We start from the raw sequence: 16,189 nt of genomic DNA, 5'->3' as shown, positions 1-16,189 counted from the left end.
GTGGAATATTATTCCATAGGTCTGTAAATTTTCTGTCACTTTTCCTATTTCAGCTCATCTTACGCATCAAACAACTCACCCTGTCTATAAAATGGAAGATATGCCGTATAACAGTTATATCAAAAAAGATCTTTTATGTGTAATCACTTCATAAAGTGCTGTTTGAACATAAGGTATTAGTAGTTATTTTAGCCTATCACATGAATAGTGCATCCAGACTCCAAGATTTAGAGATTTAGAGTCAAGCTCCTTTTTCTTTTTTTTTTTTTTTTTTTTTTTTTTTGCCAAGCTCTTGGAAACAGTACACTGGATTCTAAAATAGAAAAACAACAGTACAGAATTATGATCATTGCTCTAGACTTACTGGATTTAATTATTGGTTCAAATAACAATGATAATAATAAAACCAACTTTAAATTCAGCACTTTTTTCTATGCATTGTCAACCCCTTTTGAATTTCATCTTTGACCCTGAAGTACAGATTTGATTCTTTCTTCAGAATGTTTACATTTATTTCACCTTCCAAATTACCTCCTTTTTCCTTGGTCTCTGAGTTTCAGAGGTACCTGATGCATAATTTATGCCCTAGAGACAAAAATATTGGCTGCCAAGATGCATAAAACTAGTGGCCCAGTTGTGAGGATGAATTAAGAATGGACATCATTTTATTTCATTTTAATTTAGTTTTGTTTAATTCTAGTTTCAGTTTTGATGATATTTTGCCATGCTTCCCAATTTTTTTCTTTGATAACAACATAATTCAGGGAGAAAGTACAAATTTGCCACAGGTTGAACACTTAATTTGTGTTCCTTAAAAAATAATGCTGTGCTTAGTTTATTGCCAGGAAACTTCTTGCTTGATGCTTTGGTCTGTTTTGTTTTTAATGTTTTAAACAAAGAATATTCCGGCCTTTACTTCAGAGTTTCTTCCAAAGATACATATGCATTTCTAGGAAGAGGAAAGAAAGAGTTGTAAGACATCTATCATCATAAAAAATTAATCACTTGACTCATCCCCTGTCCTGCTTGTTTCAGTTAGCATTTTCAGCTTCCCAAGACCATATTGTTCTACATCTGTATGTAAGAGCTCTGATGTATCTAGAATTTGTAAGCTGTCCAGCAAAAATGAAAAAGGGTCTCTCCATTCACTTTTCAATGATTAAAAAAAAGAGAGAAAAGCATCAATTTTATATAACTCTCTCTTTTACTCAAATCTTATTCTCTGCCTTGTGTTAAATTCCAGCAAGGCCCTAAACAATTGAAAAATGAACAAGTTGGTTGATCTTTAGCAAGTGAATACATTGTTCCCTAAATGGTTTCAATTACACAGGTTAGCTCTGTGGGAGGTTGCACTCACTGTGATGTTCTAAGGAGACTACATGGTTTCTGAGAAGATAAAATATTCTGTAGCACTGAAACAGGTCGAATATAATCCTAGGTAATATTCTGGTGCTGTGTTGTGGATTTGCAATAGGTCAATTCAGACAAACTGGAACTACATTTCCCAGAATTCCTTTATCCGCAGAGTTCTGGGTTGGGGGTGGAGCATAAGTGAATTTGCACAAGATTTGAAAGGTAAAAGTGAAGTAGCAGCCATACTCTTTGCATTCTATAAAGGTCCACAGGGGCGTCAGGCTGTGCTTCAGACAGCATACATGGTTGTCCCAGTGCCAGTTCAACTGGTTGGCTGGGGTAGCAGCCTAGTGCAGCTCCTCAGCTCCTTCCCACTCCCCTCCTTCAGCTTATCACACCCATGGCAGCAGCAGATTTAGCTCCATGAGGAAAAGCTCCAGCTTCTCCAGCAAATCGATTCCATAATCAAAGATGGAGGCTAACAGGTGGTAAGAGGGGCTAATGGGTCCCAGTTGGTCCTTGTGGGAACCAGCTCAGCCTCAAGAGTTCCAGATTGTTCGAACCCCTCTCTATTTCACGCCCTCTTTTCTCCCAACTTCCTGCCCCGTGGACTTAAAGCTTCAGCACCAGATAGTGAAGGAACAGCCCCACACTGACTGCTTCATGTGTCTCAGTCCACCTTCACGTGTCTCAGTCCGCTTAGGCTGCTATAAAAAATAACAAAGACTGGGTGGCTTAAACAACACTTACTGGATCACAGTTCTGGAGGTTGAAATGTCCACGATCAGAGTTCCTGCATGGTCTGGTTCTCGTGACGACTCTTCCTGGCTTGCAGATTGGGGCCTTGCTGTATCCTCACGTGGCATAAAGAGAGCTCTTGTCTCTTCATTCCCTTGTAAAGGCTCCAATTCCATCATGAGTTCCACCCCCATGACCTCATCCAAGCCCAGTTACCTCCCAAAGGCCCCACCTCCAAATACCATCACACTGGAGATTAGGGTTTCAACATATTGATTTTGTGGACTGCAAACATTCAGTGTATAGCAACCAGCTCCCACTTGTAGTGGACCTGCTTTTCTGACCCAAGCTCTAAATGCTGCACACTGAAATTGCCTTCTTCATGACTGTTCTTATGTGCTGTTTACTTCACTCTTTCCCATACCTCTATCTCTCAGAATCTGATCTAAACTTACATGAAAAACTCAAAGCCTATCTTTTGCATGAAGTCTTCCCTGATATTTATGGTAAAAATTAACCACTTTCTCCTGCATGTCCCTAAGCACTTTAGTTATATCTCTCTTTGTGCACTTAATGCATCCTGCCTTGTATGGCAGTTCTGTGTATCTCTCTCTCCCCTTGTAAATTTCTTGAGGGCAGAATGATGTCTCACTCATCTTTGTATCCCCAAAAGCAACTATCACAGTGCCCCATGCAGAACTGGAGTTCAATAAATGTCTGTTGACTTGAAGTCTGGTGCAGCTTGCTTTATCCTCTGGCACTGCTTGGGTTGTCACCATGACTGTATCTAAAGGACAACTTTACCCTTCTGGGCTCTCTGGTCTTGTTTTATCTATTTTTATGATGTGTTTATACATAGTCCCTGCTTTATGCCAGAAGCCAAGCACTTTGGTGATACATTTTCAGTCAGGTTAAATGTTTGGCATTTTTTTTCAAGTGGAAAGGCCCTCACCGGATGTATTAAGAGTTTTCTTTTGAAATCTTATCATGAAAATAAATGGGGCAAATAACTGCATACAATAAGGCACTGCATAGTTAATGTAGCAAAGTATCCTGCACACAGCAAGCTCATAGGAAACATAGGTTGAATGATGGAGGAAATAAATTGATGAATTTACTAATGAATGAAGAGCCTAACCAAGGGACAAAGCCATCAGGTATATGTATAGTACTGCCATTTTTAATGACATGATTTGAGACTCTTCCAAAGAAACATAGATAACTACCTACCTTGATGTAGTCCTACCAACAGGCAGAGGATTTCTCTCCTCCAAATTGCAGTAGTTCATCATTCTTGCTTAAAGTTTGCTATAAGCTATAGTTTATAATGAACTATAATTTATGGTGTATACAAGATAGGTCTTACCTACATTTCAAAAAATAGGGAACCACAGAACAATTCATGGAGCATAGTGTCGAAGGAAAGGAACTATTGTCAGAATACATCTAGATCTATTTTTTTTGTCTAACATCTATGAAAGAAAGGATGAATGGTAATGCATTAAATATTTTTCTAATATTGCTAAATGAGAATTTTATAAAATTCTTTCAACTCCCATCTTGTATATGAGATTCTAGAAGTTGCTATAAATTGTGCTAGAAAATGGGTACAGCTTTGTCTTGGAAGTTTTATGTTTCAAAACATTTTCCCCTCAAAGAAAGCTTTATTTCCAAGTCCTGAGGTGCCAGGTAAAAATCTATAAAGTAAAAGTAATTATCTAATATCTCACTTAGTAAATCATCAGGATAAAACTTCTTTAGGAAAAAGCTAGCTCCTTTTGTTTGTGAGGAAAAAAGAAATAAAAGAGACTCTGGGAAATTTTTCAAGTGATTTTAAAAAGCAAAACTTTTACTCTAATCATTTTCTTGTAAATAAATCTAAGAAAATAATAGTTTAGCTTAAAGTAAAAGTGTCCTGGTTCAATTTGTGTCCACTTCTATGCACAACCTATCATGTTACCTTTCACAGTGTCTTTGGTTGCACTTTACGTATCTTAAGCTTATCCTGCTCAGTATAGTTATCTTCACAAAATTGCTTTGGTAACTCAGGAACTGCAACATTTCTGTTGCCTCATTATCTAACAATGTATCCAACCAATCAAAACTCAAGAGGGTCAGAGAAGATCCTGCAAGTCATTCATCCAACAAATCTTCATTGAGCAGTAATGAAACATAGGCTCTGGTTTTCAATTTAGGACTGAGGACAGATGCACCCACATGAGTACAACACTTGTCACAGGTGCAACTATGGAACATCTCCACAGACACCAAGAGGTCAAGAAAGACAATACAGAAAGGGTGGCTTCTTTTTTTTTGAGACGGAGTCTCGCTCTGTCACCCTGGCTGGAGTGCAGTGGCATGATCTCGGCTCAGTGCAACCTTGGCCTCCCGGGTTCAAGCAATTCTTCTGCCTCAGCCTCCTGAGTAGCTGGGACTACAGACGTGCACCACCACACCCGGCTAATTTTTGTATTTTTAGTAGAGATGGGGTTTCTCTATATTGGCCAGGCTGGTCTTGAACTCCTGACCTCGTGATCAGCCCACCTCAGCCTCCCAAAGTGGTGGGATTACAGGCGTGAGCCACTGCACCAGGCCAAGGGTGATTTCTAAATTACATCTTGAAATATTATCAGTGTTCATCAGGCAGAAAAATGGTCTAGATAAGACAAAGGCATCTCATGCAAAGAAAGCAGAAGGAGCAAAGCATGAGATACGGAAGGCTTTGGTGCAATCAGAAAAACATCTGGTGTGGCCGATGCTTGTCAGGGAGAAGGAAGAAAGTAAGGGATGCATTATGGGTTGAACTGTGCCTCCCCAAAATTTACATGTTGAAGTCCTAACCCCATACCTCAAAATGTTACTGTATTTTGAAATTAGAGTCTTTAAAGAGGTAATTAAGGTAAAATGAGACTGTTAGATTGAGCAGTAATTCAACGGTACTGCTACCTTAGGAGAAGAAGAATTGGGACACAGAGAGATACCAGGGATGTGTGTGCACAGAGGAAAGGCCCAGGGAGGACAAAGAGAGAATGTGGTATTTACAAAACAAGGAGACAGGCTTCAGGAGAAACCAGCCCTACTGGCACCATGGTCTTGCACTTCCAGCCTCCAGAACTATGAGGAAATAAATTTCTATTGTTTAAGCCACCCAGTCAGTAATGTTTTATTATGGAAGCTCTAGCAAAGTAGTACAAGACAAAAGAGATGAGGGAGGCAGGGGTCTTCATGGGAGAACGTGTACGCCCTGAGAAGCTCACACATCCTGCAGGCTATGCAAATCCTTAAACAGTTAGACATAGGAAATTAGCAATACGTTAATAATATGTTATACTTCATAAAAGTATCACTCTGACAACTGTGTACAAGGTAGAAGACACCAGCTGACTACAGGAAGAAAAACTAACTGTTGAATCAAGTGGCAATGAGAGGCTAACAGAGGCAGGCATGGAGGGGAGAAGAGTTCTGATGTGTGAGATGTTTCAGAGGCACACTCAGCCAAAGCTGGACCCAGAGGTGATGTCATGTTGTACAAATGAGAACGACAACCTAGATCTGCTTCAATGCTGGGACCTACGATACAGGAACTCAATAAGCATTTATTTATCAAATGAATGAAGACAAGGCAACTACCCACTTTCATTAGATGGACATCTGAGAATAAACCATACTACTCCAAACATAATAACATCCATTCTACTACCTCATGTCAATTATGCTCTGCCATATACTAAATGTGCAGAGAGTTGAGTATTGACTATAAAACTATAGATAAAATATCCATCCATTCTCGTATGATTTATACACTGTTTTTCTATAATGTGTTGATTGAGTGCTCAATGGATATACAATTATGTGCTAGCTTGGTTCAGGAGTGGTGTCATAAAGTAATGTAGAGTAGATTTGTGCTCTAAAAAATATTTCAAAAAATTCAGAGACCACAAAATATGTGTTCTTTGAATGTATGTAGCAAAACTAAATTTATTTCAAAATGTCAGAGGAGAGGTGCTGCTAGTGTGGCCCTGACATACCTTATTCTAAAGGGGTCATGTAGAAAAATTTCTGTGTGAAGGAAGAATAAAGAAAAAGTTTAATCAAGGCAGTAGGAACTTAGTGAGCATTGAGGGATGGGTAGAGTTAGAAGGTTTGTCTTCTTCAAGATTTTTGCAAAAGCACAAAAGAAAAGTAAGAAAACAGTAATACAGAATACTGATCTGGCTAGTGTGGAAAGAAGTACTGATATCATCTAGGTTACCCATTTTAGTTTAGAGCAGGGGTTGGCAAGTTGTGGTCCATGGACCAGATCCAATCCACTGCCTGTTTTTGTATTGCCCATGAGTAAAGAATGGTTGAAAAACATCAAAAGGAAAAAAAAATTGATATGTGAAAAGTGCATGGAATCCAGTATTCGTTAGCCATAAAGTTTTATGGGAATACAGTCATGGTCATTATGTTTCCATATTGTCTGTGGCTGCAAGGGCGGAACTGAGTAATTGTGACAGAGATTGTATGGCCCACAGAGCCAAAAAGATTTGCTATCTGGGACTTTACAGAAAAAGTTTTCAGACCTGTGGCTTAGAGGAGAGACGAAAAGGCCAAAGACCTAGATAGTTACTGTCGTTTTATGAATACTACAGTGATACAGAGGCGAGCTTCCTGCACACAGGACCATGTAAGTGTTTGTCAAATTAGAATCTTGTAATGTGTACCCCATGGAAATTAAGTTCAAAGAATATTAAAAATTGTCACATGGCAAAAAGAGGTTCAAAACAGCCTAAGCAAATGATAACTTTGAGAGATGCTGAATGATATTTCAAGGCATTAATATGCCAATATGTTATGGGTCTATAAGGGAACATCACACACCGAGGACTGTTGTGGGGTGGGGGGAGGGGGGAGGGATAGCATTAGGAGATATACCTAATGCTAAATGATGAGTTAATGGGTGCAGCACACCAACATGACACATATATACATATGTAACAAACATGCATGTTGTGCACATGTACCCTAGAACTTAAAGTATAATAATAATAGAATTTAAAAAATTAAAAAAAAATAAAAAACATTTCTCAAACACCCTGGTATTTTTTTCTGCTCCATCTAACTCTCTAACATGGGACACTGAATGGCACTATTATGTAATAGAATCGGGCAGTGCCACATCAATTTGGTGAAGATGGTGACGATCAATAACGTTTATTCAATACTCACTGAATTATTTGAAAATTTAACTACAAAGGCATACAATATGTGATATTCTATTGATAATTCATAATCTCAAAAGTTGCATTCTGATATTAATGTTGCCAACACATACCATCTACTTCTTGGTGACCTGTAAGAATTAAATTCTTGGCAAGGAAACATAGCTTCTGAAGGCAGGGAAAGTCTACTGGCATGAGTGCTACTGTTTAAAAAGACCAAAGGGGGTTTAATGTAGTAGAAAGCCAAGGTAGCCAGGTTATCAACCAGCACAGATTTCACTCAGAGCCTCTAATCAGCAGGACCCCTTGGAAAAACACACAGCCTGCAAGGGATAATCACTGCTTGGAAGATATGTTATGCAAAATATGTTCTTTTTGTGCGAATACCACAAGGCACTGAATTGGCTCCTAGCAGGAACAACCATGGAGGCTGATAGAATTATCTCACCAATTTTTACTGTTTGGGAATATTCCTAAAATTTTAACTTCATTTCTTGATTTTATATCACTGGAGAGAAGTACTAACAAATCAGGACTGGGATAATAAAATATACTGCCGAAAATAAGAAGAGAACGTCTATCAGTTTGTTGAATGGCATACCAGAGTATTTGGTGTTTTTCGTTTTGCTACATATTTTGCCCAACAGTTGTAGTTTGCCTTCCCAAAGAAAATTCACATGCCCAGAAGGCACCAACCTCAACCTTTCTGTGAATGGTGGATTAAAGAGTACAAAAACAGGCCGGGTGCAGTGGCTCACGCCTGTAATCCCAGCATTTTGGGAGGCCAAGGTGAGTGGATCACCTGAGGTCAGGAATTAGAGACCAGCCTGGCCAACACAGTGAAACCCCGTCTCTACTAAAAATACAAAAATTAGCTGGGCATAGTGGCAGGCGCCTGTAATCCCAGCTACTCGGGAGGCTTGAACCCAAGAGCTGAGATCACACCACTGCACTCCAGCCTGGGCGACAAGAGTGAAACTTCATCTCAAAAAAAAAAAAAAGAATACACAAACCTACTTTCTGCTCAATTGTCTGAGTATTATCTGTTATCATCATCACCATCATCAGAGAAATTTCTATTCAAGAAAGACTTAATTTAAATTACCACAAAGGCCACGCATCGTGGCTCACATCTGTAATCCCAGCAGTTTGGGAGGTTAAGACAGGAGGATCATTTGGGGACAGGAATTCTAGACCAGCTTGGCCAACATAGAAAGACCCTGTATCTACAAAAAATACAAAAATTAGCTGGACATGATGGTGCACACCTGTAATCCCAGCTATTTGGGAGGATTGTTTGAGCCCAGGAGGTTGAGGGTGCAGTGAGCCATGATCATGCCACTACACTCCAGCCTAGGTAACACAAGAAGACTCCATCTCTAAATAAATAAATAAATTACCATGAAGTCATAACCCTTAGTAATCTGTCCAGTAATTTCTGATGTTTATATATGTTAACTTTCTAAAATATGGCAAAAGTTACTAAAAATGTGTCACCATAGCTGCTATCATTTTATTTTTTTAATATTAAATCCAAAGACTGGTTGCTAAGATCCTTAACAATAATGAACTTCAGGAAATTCTAGAAGAAAACAGAAGATGACACATGTGGATTGGTCCTCATGCATCCTGATGGCCAGCTTCTGGCACAAACACTGATTTTTATTTGGCACCTAACTCACTGTCAGTTCATAGGACCTGAATGTGACCCATGGGTTAACTAATCACTATGTTGCATTTTCCCTGTCCACAAATGAAGGTGGCTAGTAACTCAAGCTGGTCAAATCAGAGTGACTCTCACAGCATGCTGCCAGGAAAGTTACTTGTGTGCTGCAGACTTAAATGTTGCTGACGCTCATGCTGCTGCAGCCATCCTGCCACTATGAAGACACTGTCTCGGCTGAAGCCAGGCTAGGGGGCAGACGAAGCCTTGAGGTAGAGAAATTTTGAGTACTGATGACATTATTTGAGGCCCTAGACCAGATTATGGCTAAATCTAGTCCTATTTCAACCTTTTGAGTAATACTGTGTTTTTATTATGCCACTTGGGGTAAATTACAAGGAAGTGTTTTAGCTGTTACAGTAACAAAAAAAAATAAGCATCAGAGCCATGCTGATAGATCAGCTCCAATGAATCTAGTGTTTCATTAGGAGAAGGAAACAAAGAGACTACCCAGTCTAGAGTTTCTTCCTTCTGGCGGGTTCTTGGTCTCGCTGACTTCAAGAAGGAAGCCACAGCTCTTCGTGGTGAGTGTTACAGCTCTTAAAAGTGGCACAGCCCCAAAAAGTAACCAACAGCAAAATTTATCATGAACAGCAAAAGAACAAAGCCCCCACAAGCATAGAAGGTGACCTGACCGAGTTGCCACTGCAGGCTACTAGCCAGCTTTTATTCCCTTATTTGTCCCCACCCACGTCCTGCTGATTGGTCCATTTTACAGAGCACTGAGTGGTCCATTTTACAGAGCACTGATTGGTCCATTTTACAGAGTGCTGATTGGTCCATTTTACAGAGTGCTGATTGATGCGTTTATAATCCTTTAGCTAGACACAGTGTGCTGATTGGTGCGTTTTTACAGAGTGCTGACTGGGGCATTTACAATCCTTTACCTAGACAAGGAGTGCTGATTGGTGCGTTTTTAGAGAGTGCTGATTGGCACATTTATAATCCTTTAGCTAGACACAGAGCACTGATTGGTGCGTTTTTAGAGAATGCTGATTGGTGCATTTACAATCCTTTAGCTAGACACAGAGTGCTGATTGTTGCATTTTTACAAAGTGCTGATTGGTGCATTTATAATCCCCTAACTAGACCCAGAGCACCGATTGGTGTGTTTACAATCCTCTAGCTAGACAGAAAAGTTCTCCAAATCCCCACTCGACCCAGGAAGTCCCGCTGGCTTCACCTCTCACTACCACAAATAAAGAACTAGCATAAGCCAAACATTTTATATTTATTAAAACCTCTTTCCCTTCTGGGTTACAATATTAGTATTTTGCTCCTATTTCTGACCTTCAGAGTAATAATTATAGATCTGAGCTGCCCGGGGTTTGCCTGTATCCTCCCTAGATTATAACATTTTGTATTCCTTTATATTTAGATTTACTTTTTAGGCTAATCTTATGACACATAGTGACACTCAGAAGCTCAGTGTTTACTATTTGTCTTATAAAGAAATGAAAGCTCCATTCATATGCAACTGTTCCAACTGTGTCCAGGTATACTCATTCATGTAGTCAATAAACAGTTAGTGGGAAGCCTCTCTATTCTAGGCACTGTTGTCTGTACCGGAGACACAGCAGTGAGCAGATAGGCAGACATGCCTCCTCTTGAGGAGATCATATGCTAGAGGAGGAGATGGATGATACACAAGAAAAACACATGAAATTTAAGTATGTTAGATAGTGAATTCCATGAAAGGGATCCCTGAGATGGGTAGGGGCATGGGTTACAACTTTACATAAAGGGGACTGGGGAAGCCTCATCAGGAAGGTGACATTTAAGTAGAGACCTTAATTAAGGAGGTCAGAAAGAAGAAACATTGTAAGCAGAGAGAGTACAGATGCAAAGGTCCTGTGGTGACAGCATGCTGTGGACACTGTGTGTGCTCTAGGAACAGCAGGGAAGCCGCATCAGTGGACCAGACAGAGTGAGGAGAGGGAACAGCAATAAGAGGTCAGATCAGAGAGTATATGGTGGAAAGTGAGTGGTGAAAGAAGGTAGCAGATCCAGTAAAGCCATACAGGCTATATGGATCCAGGCTCTTTGTTTGTCTGTTTCCTTAATGCGTAAAAAACATTGGAAGTTATAAGCCAAAGTGCCATAATCTAACTTACATTTTAACAGGCTTACTGTGGCAGTGTTAGAATAGACTTGAGGTCAAGATCAGAAGGGAGATCACACAAAAGAATATGACAATAATCCCAGTAAGGAATTATAATGGCTTGGATGGAGGTGGCAGTGATGGAAAGGTTAAGGATTTATCAGATTCTAATAAAGACAGTGGATATCGACAACATATTCTGATGAAGTCCAGATGCCATAATGTAGATGGAACTTCATGATCCAAGTGCCCTGGTCACTCCTTGCCTCTCATGCCACATTCCAGCCACCTTGACCTGCCTCCATTTCCCCTGGCACCCTGCCCTCTCGCCCTAGCAGATGCTAACCTGCCGTCACCCGGCAGGACTCAAGCTTGAATTCACCTCCTCCAAGGAACCTTCAAAGCCCTCATCACACTAGTTCTATGTTTACTTGTCTACCCCCCACCACCCCATTACACTTCCAGCTGCTTGAAATTCTATTCTTTGACTTGGTCAAGGTTACGTCCTTGTGGTTTAAACAGTGCTTGCCATAAAATCGACACTCATAAATCTCTGTTTAATGAATGAGTGAAATCCCATTTTTATTTCGTGCTTTTAAATTTACTTAATTGCTCTTTCCTCATTTGTAAAATTGAGTAATAACTTCCTTACTAATTTTGTTGATGTGAAGATGTAAGTGTCCAAGATAGATACAGGCAGAGAAGAGGCACACAGGCATTTCTATAGCTTAACTCATGGATTTTCAGTTTATACAACTAAGGAAGGCTGTCCTATTTTGGCTGACTTTCTCTGCCTTTTGAAAAAAATGTCTCCACTTTTTATTTAAAGTGCTACTTTACATTTTTGAATGCTTACTTTACCTTTTAAAATATTAGCCGAAGGATAGGGAAAAGACGTTGGATTCAGTGAGAAACAAACCAAACTTTTGCAAGAGCTTTGCTTATTCCAACAAAAACAGTACTGTGAATCCCCCCAAAGGGAGAGTGGGTGCTGACCTAATCTTGTTTGCTTTCCTCTTCAGTATTCTTCCCTACCAGCCTCCCTGGGGGCCTTAAAAGGAATTACCAAACTGCACAAAGAACTGCCTTGATGGTCATGCTTACTTGGTGTTTCTGGTCTAATGGACGAGTGATGTTGAAATAACAGAAAAGTGCATTTTTTCATTTTTATTTTGATAGCTTAACATTTTTAGGAAGTTTGTCTTCCTCTCCAAAGAAGTATCACATAGAAACAGCAAATTGATTGCTTAGTAGGAAAAAAAAATACCATCATACTCCCCGGGAGAAACTGAAATGATCATTAATTTAAGTAATTGTAGCCTCTATTTGTTGGTATTTACTATATAGGCTAAACAGGCACTGGGATGAGTGAATATTCTCATTTACCACCCACTCCCCTAGAAGTCTGTGAAATGTATACTGGTATTATCACCATTTTGCATGTATGGAATATGAAGCTTAAAGTGATATAGTAGTAACTTGCCTAAGGTTACATAGCCTTCTAAGCGGCAGAACCTATAGACTAGTGACTCCATGATACACATTTCACTCAAGAAGTGCCTTTTCATTTGTATCTTCCCATTTTATGAATCTTATATCAAGGCTTTCCATATCATTCTTCAATTGCTATGGTGGGTCCTCAAGACAAAGCAAGAGGGAGAGAAAATTAGATAAGTCACCTTTTTAATTTTCCTTGGTCATCATGTAGACCATGCTAGAGGAATCTTCTTAAAACACTGCTTTCCTCTGACTCCTGCACTACACATAAAGCACTGATAACTCTAATTGCCAATAGAACATAGGTCATAATTCTTTGTCTGACATTCGAGGGTCTTCACCCTCTGCCCTGGTCTTCTTATCTGGTATTATTTGGGCCTTATACTCAAGGTCACAGCATGAGTTTCTGTACTGAAAGGCTGCTCAGCTATATGCAATGAGCCTGTTTTCAAAAGGCTTGAGCGCAAGTCCATCTGTCTGCTCTCCATTTTTTAAATATCCCTTGGGCTCTCTAATTCCATTCCCATTTCATCTCTCTTGAATGCCTCCCTCTATAATTTGCCTATTGAGATCCTATCATATTCAAATGACTGCTCAAGCTATTCATCTTTAATCATGTCTTTCTGAAGCAATTTCTCTTTTGTTCCACATTCGAAAAAAATTTACTCTGAACCATATATTCATGGTGCTACTCCCATATTGATTTGAATAGTAACCTGCCTCATCTCTTTTACTAGATTTCAACCAACTTGAATATAGGAAATTGTAAGAGTCCAGGATAGGTTTGGTTATGGTGTAATAAAGAAATTTCTCAGTGAGTTACAATAGCATATGTGTATTTCCATTTCATGCTCTGTGTCCATCAGCTCTGAACTTGGTTTCCATAGCATCATCCTCCACCATGTGGGAAGTGGCCCATTAAAATGGCAAGGACAAGGACAGGTAAGGTAAACACTAGTTCTTAGGGCTTCTACCCAGAGGTAGCACATCACACACATCAAACCTACTTACATTTTATTGTCCAAACCAAGTAATTGGTCAAGGACAACTTCAAGAAGAGTGGAGACATGCAAACATAGCATGGTCCTGGAAAGAGGAGAAACAGGATATTTATAAAATTCCCTAATGGCTATCAAAGCCATCTTCACAGGCATCACAAGAACTAAGACCTTTACCCACTTCTGCATTTCAGGCATGCCTCACCAAGACAAAGACTAAGACCATCTTCTTGTACTTCTCTGCCATGGTCAGTGTATAAGGGTAGGGCTGAAACCAAGACAAAGACCAAGACCATCTTCTTGTACTTCTCTGCCATGGTCAGTGTATAAGGGTAGGGCTGAATTGCAAACACTCTCCCTGCTCTGGCTCCAGGTGTTTCATAACCATGAAAGTACAAAGCCAGAAAGAACAGACAATCGTGCCTGTACAACCTCAGATGCCCTGTGACCTTCACACACAATCAATATTGTCTTGCTAATAATTAAAAGGAGGGGCTGGCTGATGTCTCAGTTATTGACAGATCCAAAATCTCAGTGGCATACAAAAATAAGCAAGTTTTTTCTCACTCACACATCTTCAGGGTAGTTGGGATGTAGCTGAGCTAGGTCAGCTGCAGCTGGGTTGGGGTCCAGGCTTCAGATTGGGTCCAAGTTATTCTGTGTGTGTCTCTCTCATCCTCTTAGAAAAATTACTCAAGGTATCTTCTCGTGATAAAAGGCAGGAATACAAGAATGCAAGCCCAATTGGGCAAGCACAGGTTATGCCTCTGAACAAACTGTACCTGATAAGATCTATTTGACCAAAGTAAAACACACACTCAAGCCCCAGACCAAGGGGTGGTAAAGAACACCTCGTCCACCATGAGACAAAGTCACAGGGGCAAGGAGAGAAATAGTATACCCCTTCCACCAATGAAGTAGGGAAAGAGGTAACATTTGTGTTCAAGAATCTATCTACCCTATTTGATGTCAAAAGAGGGGGAAATACATGAATTTTATGATAACATTTTTTACGCTCAAGCAATATTTTCTGCAGGACTTCTCTAAGTCAGAAAGATGGATGTGCACTTATCTAAGAGAGTTATGTCTGAGCTGTGTATGTTAACTGCCATCCGGAACTATGTTTTTTAAAATAAATTGCCTATTCTTCTTCCACTGCAAATCACATAGAGAAAGCCCTGGACTGCTGGAAATTAGAAGGTGTCTGATGTGTTAGCATATGGGGGGATGATTGGGACTCCATGCCTATATTATTTGGAGCATTTGCGTCAGTTGTGATATGGCCAGTGCCAAGTTGTTGGCAGTAGCACCATTATCACACAGCTCCAGCAAAAGATTCCCCATGTAGGTGACGAGGTTCTTGTCCCCTTGTCAAGATTCAACAGGAATCTTGAAGGGAAACAGACTGAACTCCTAGACCTCTTGCTATTACCAGCAGATCAGGAAGGGGGTCTTAAGTATTTCCACCCTGAAGACACACTGGAATCACTCCCCAGTTGTATAAGGTGGCACATGCTTACATAATTAATTCGAAATTTGCAGGATATTAAATTTAAAATGACTAAAACATGACAAAAGTATTTAGAAAAATAGAGGCCAGAAAGAGAGAGGAGAGACCTAATGCAAGAAAATATTAATGCAAATCAGACTGTAGAGTGGAGGTCAAGAAACGGGAATGAGAAGTAAATTGTTTAAAATAACCCATTTGGAGAACTCTTTTTTCTGCAGAAGGTCCAAGAAAATTAAGGCATTCAAAAGTTTCTGAGCATAGAGTTTACCTTATATTGAAAAACCACATAGACATATGCAAGAGCAGTGGAACTACAGTTTCTGACTTGAATTCAGTTCTGTGGGTCTGAAACAAGAAGCTCTGGAGGGTCTAAGGGAAGCAGGTTAGAACAAAGAGCTGGGCTGGAAAACTTCACAGTGCTGCTTGTGGTAGTAAGCTCTATAATTTACCAATAAGAACATAATTTGTATCCCCCAAACTGTGTGCTCTGTGGTAAGGTAAATTATCATTTTCTAGTCTAAACAAATGGCTGCAATATTCTGGTGTGGATTCTGCCCCATGAAAAAAGGATATGAACTATTTGTGTAGGACTGGGGCTGACCTTCCAGGGTTTGAAGAATGCATTCTCTCTTCAGCTTTTCACGGGTGGAAATGGAGAACACAGGTGACCACTGCTTGCCAATGTCCTGGTTGCCCCCACCACTGTTTGCATTTAGCAACAGTGTGGTCCATCCCATCCCATTTGTGATGATGGAAATGTTCTATGTCTGTGCCACCAATAAAGGGGCCACTTGCCACATGTGGCTATTGAGCACTTGACAAGTGGTTGATATGACTGAAAAAATAATAATTTTAAAATTGTACTTAATTTTAATTAAATTTAAATAGCTATACGTGGCAAGTGGCTGCCATATTGAATAGCACAGTTCTAGAATCTCTGAGTCCTCTGAGCCTCCACACTCTTTTAAGTACTCAAAAGCTGCTCACATGGTCCCTGTTCTGCAAACACATACTCTCACTGCCAGTAACTGAGTGCCAAGGAGCAAATGGCAGTATCTTAGCAGC

At 39.9% G+C, this 16,189-nt stretch overlaps 2 long non-coding RNA genes across 3 annotated transcripts in view; both read right to left on the bottom strand.

Moving 5' to 3' along the window:
* Positions 1-16,189, bottom strand: part of LOC100506207 (uncharacterized) — a 349,823-nt gene that overhangs the window by 130,952 nt on the left and 202,682 nt on the right. The gene's annotated exons all lie outside the window — the stretch shown is intronic.
* Positions 638-2,225, bottom strand: HULC (hepatocellular carcinoma up-regulated long non-coding RNA). The gene is made up of 2 exons (NR_004855.3): positions 2,104-2,225; positions 638-949 (listed from the first exon to the last, which is right to left on the bottom strand). It is a non-coding gene; the product is annotated as a hepatocellular carcinoma up-regulated long non-coding RNA (long non-coding RNA).

The sequence above is a fragment of the Homo sapiens genome, chromosome 6 (genome assembly GCF_000001405.40).
Source record: "Homo sapiens chromosome 6, GRCh38.p14 Primary Assembly".
In the NCBI taxonomy this organism is placed as follows: domain Eukaryota; kingdom Metazoa; phylum Chordata; class Mammalia; order Primates; family Hominidae; genus Homo; species Homo sapiens.
The sequence above is the reverse complement of the archived record's forward strand: the minus strand, read 5'-3'. Positions and strand labels throughout refer to the sequence as shown.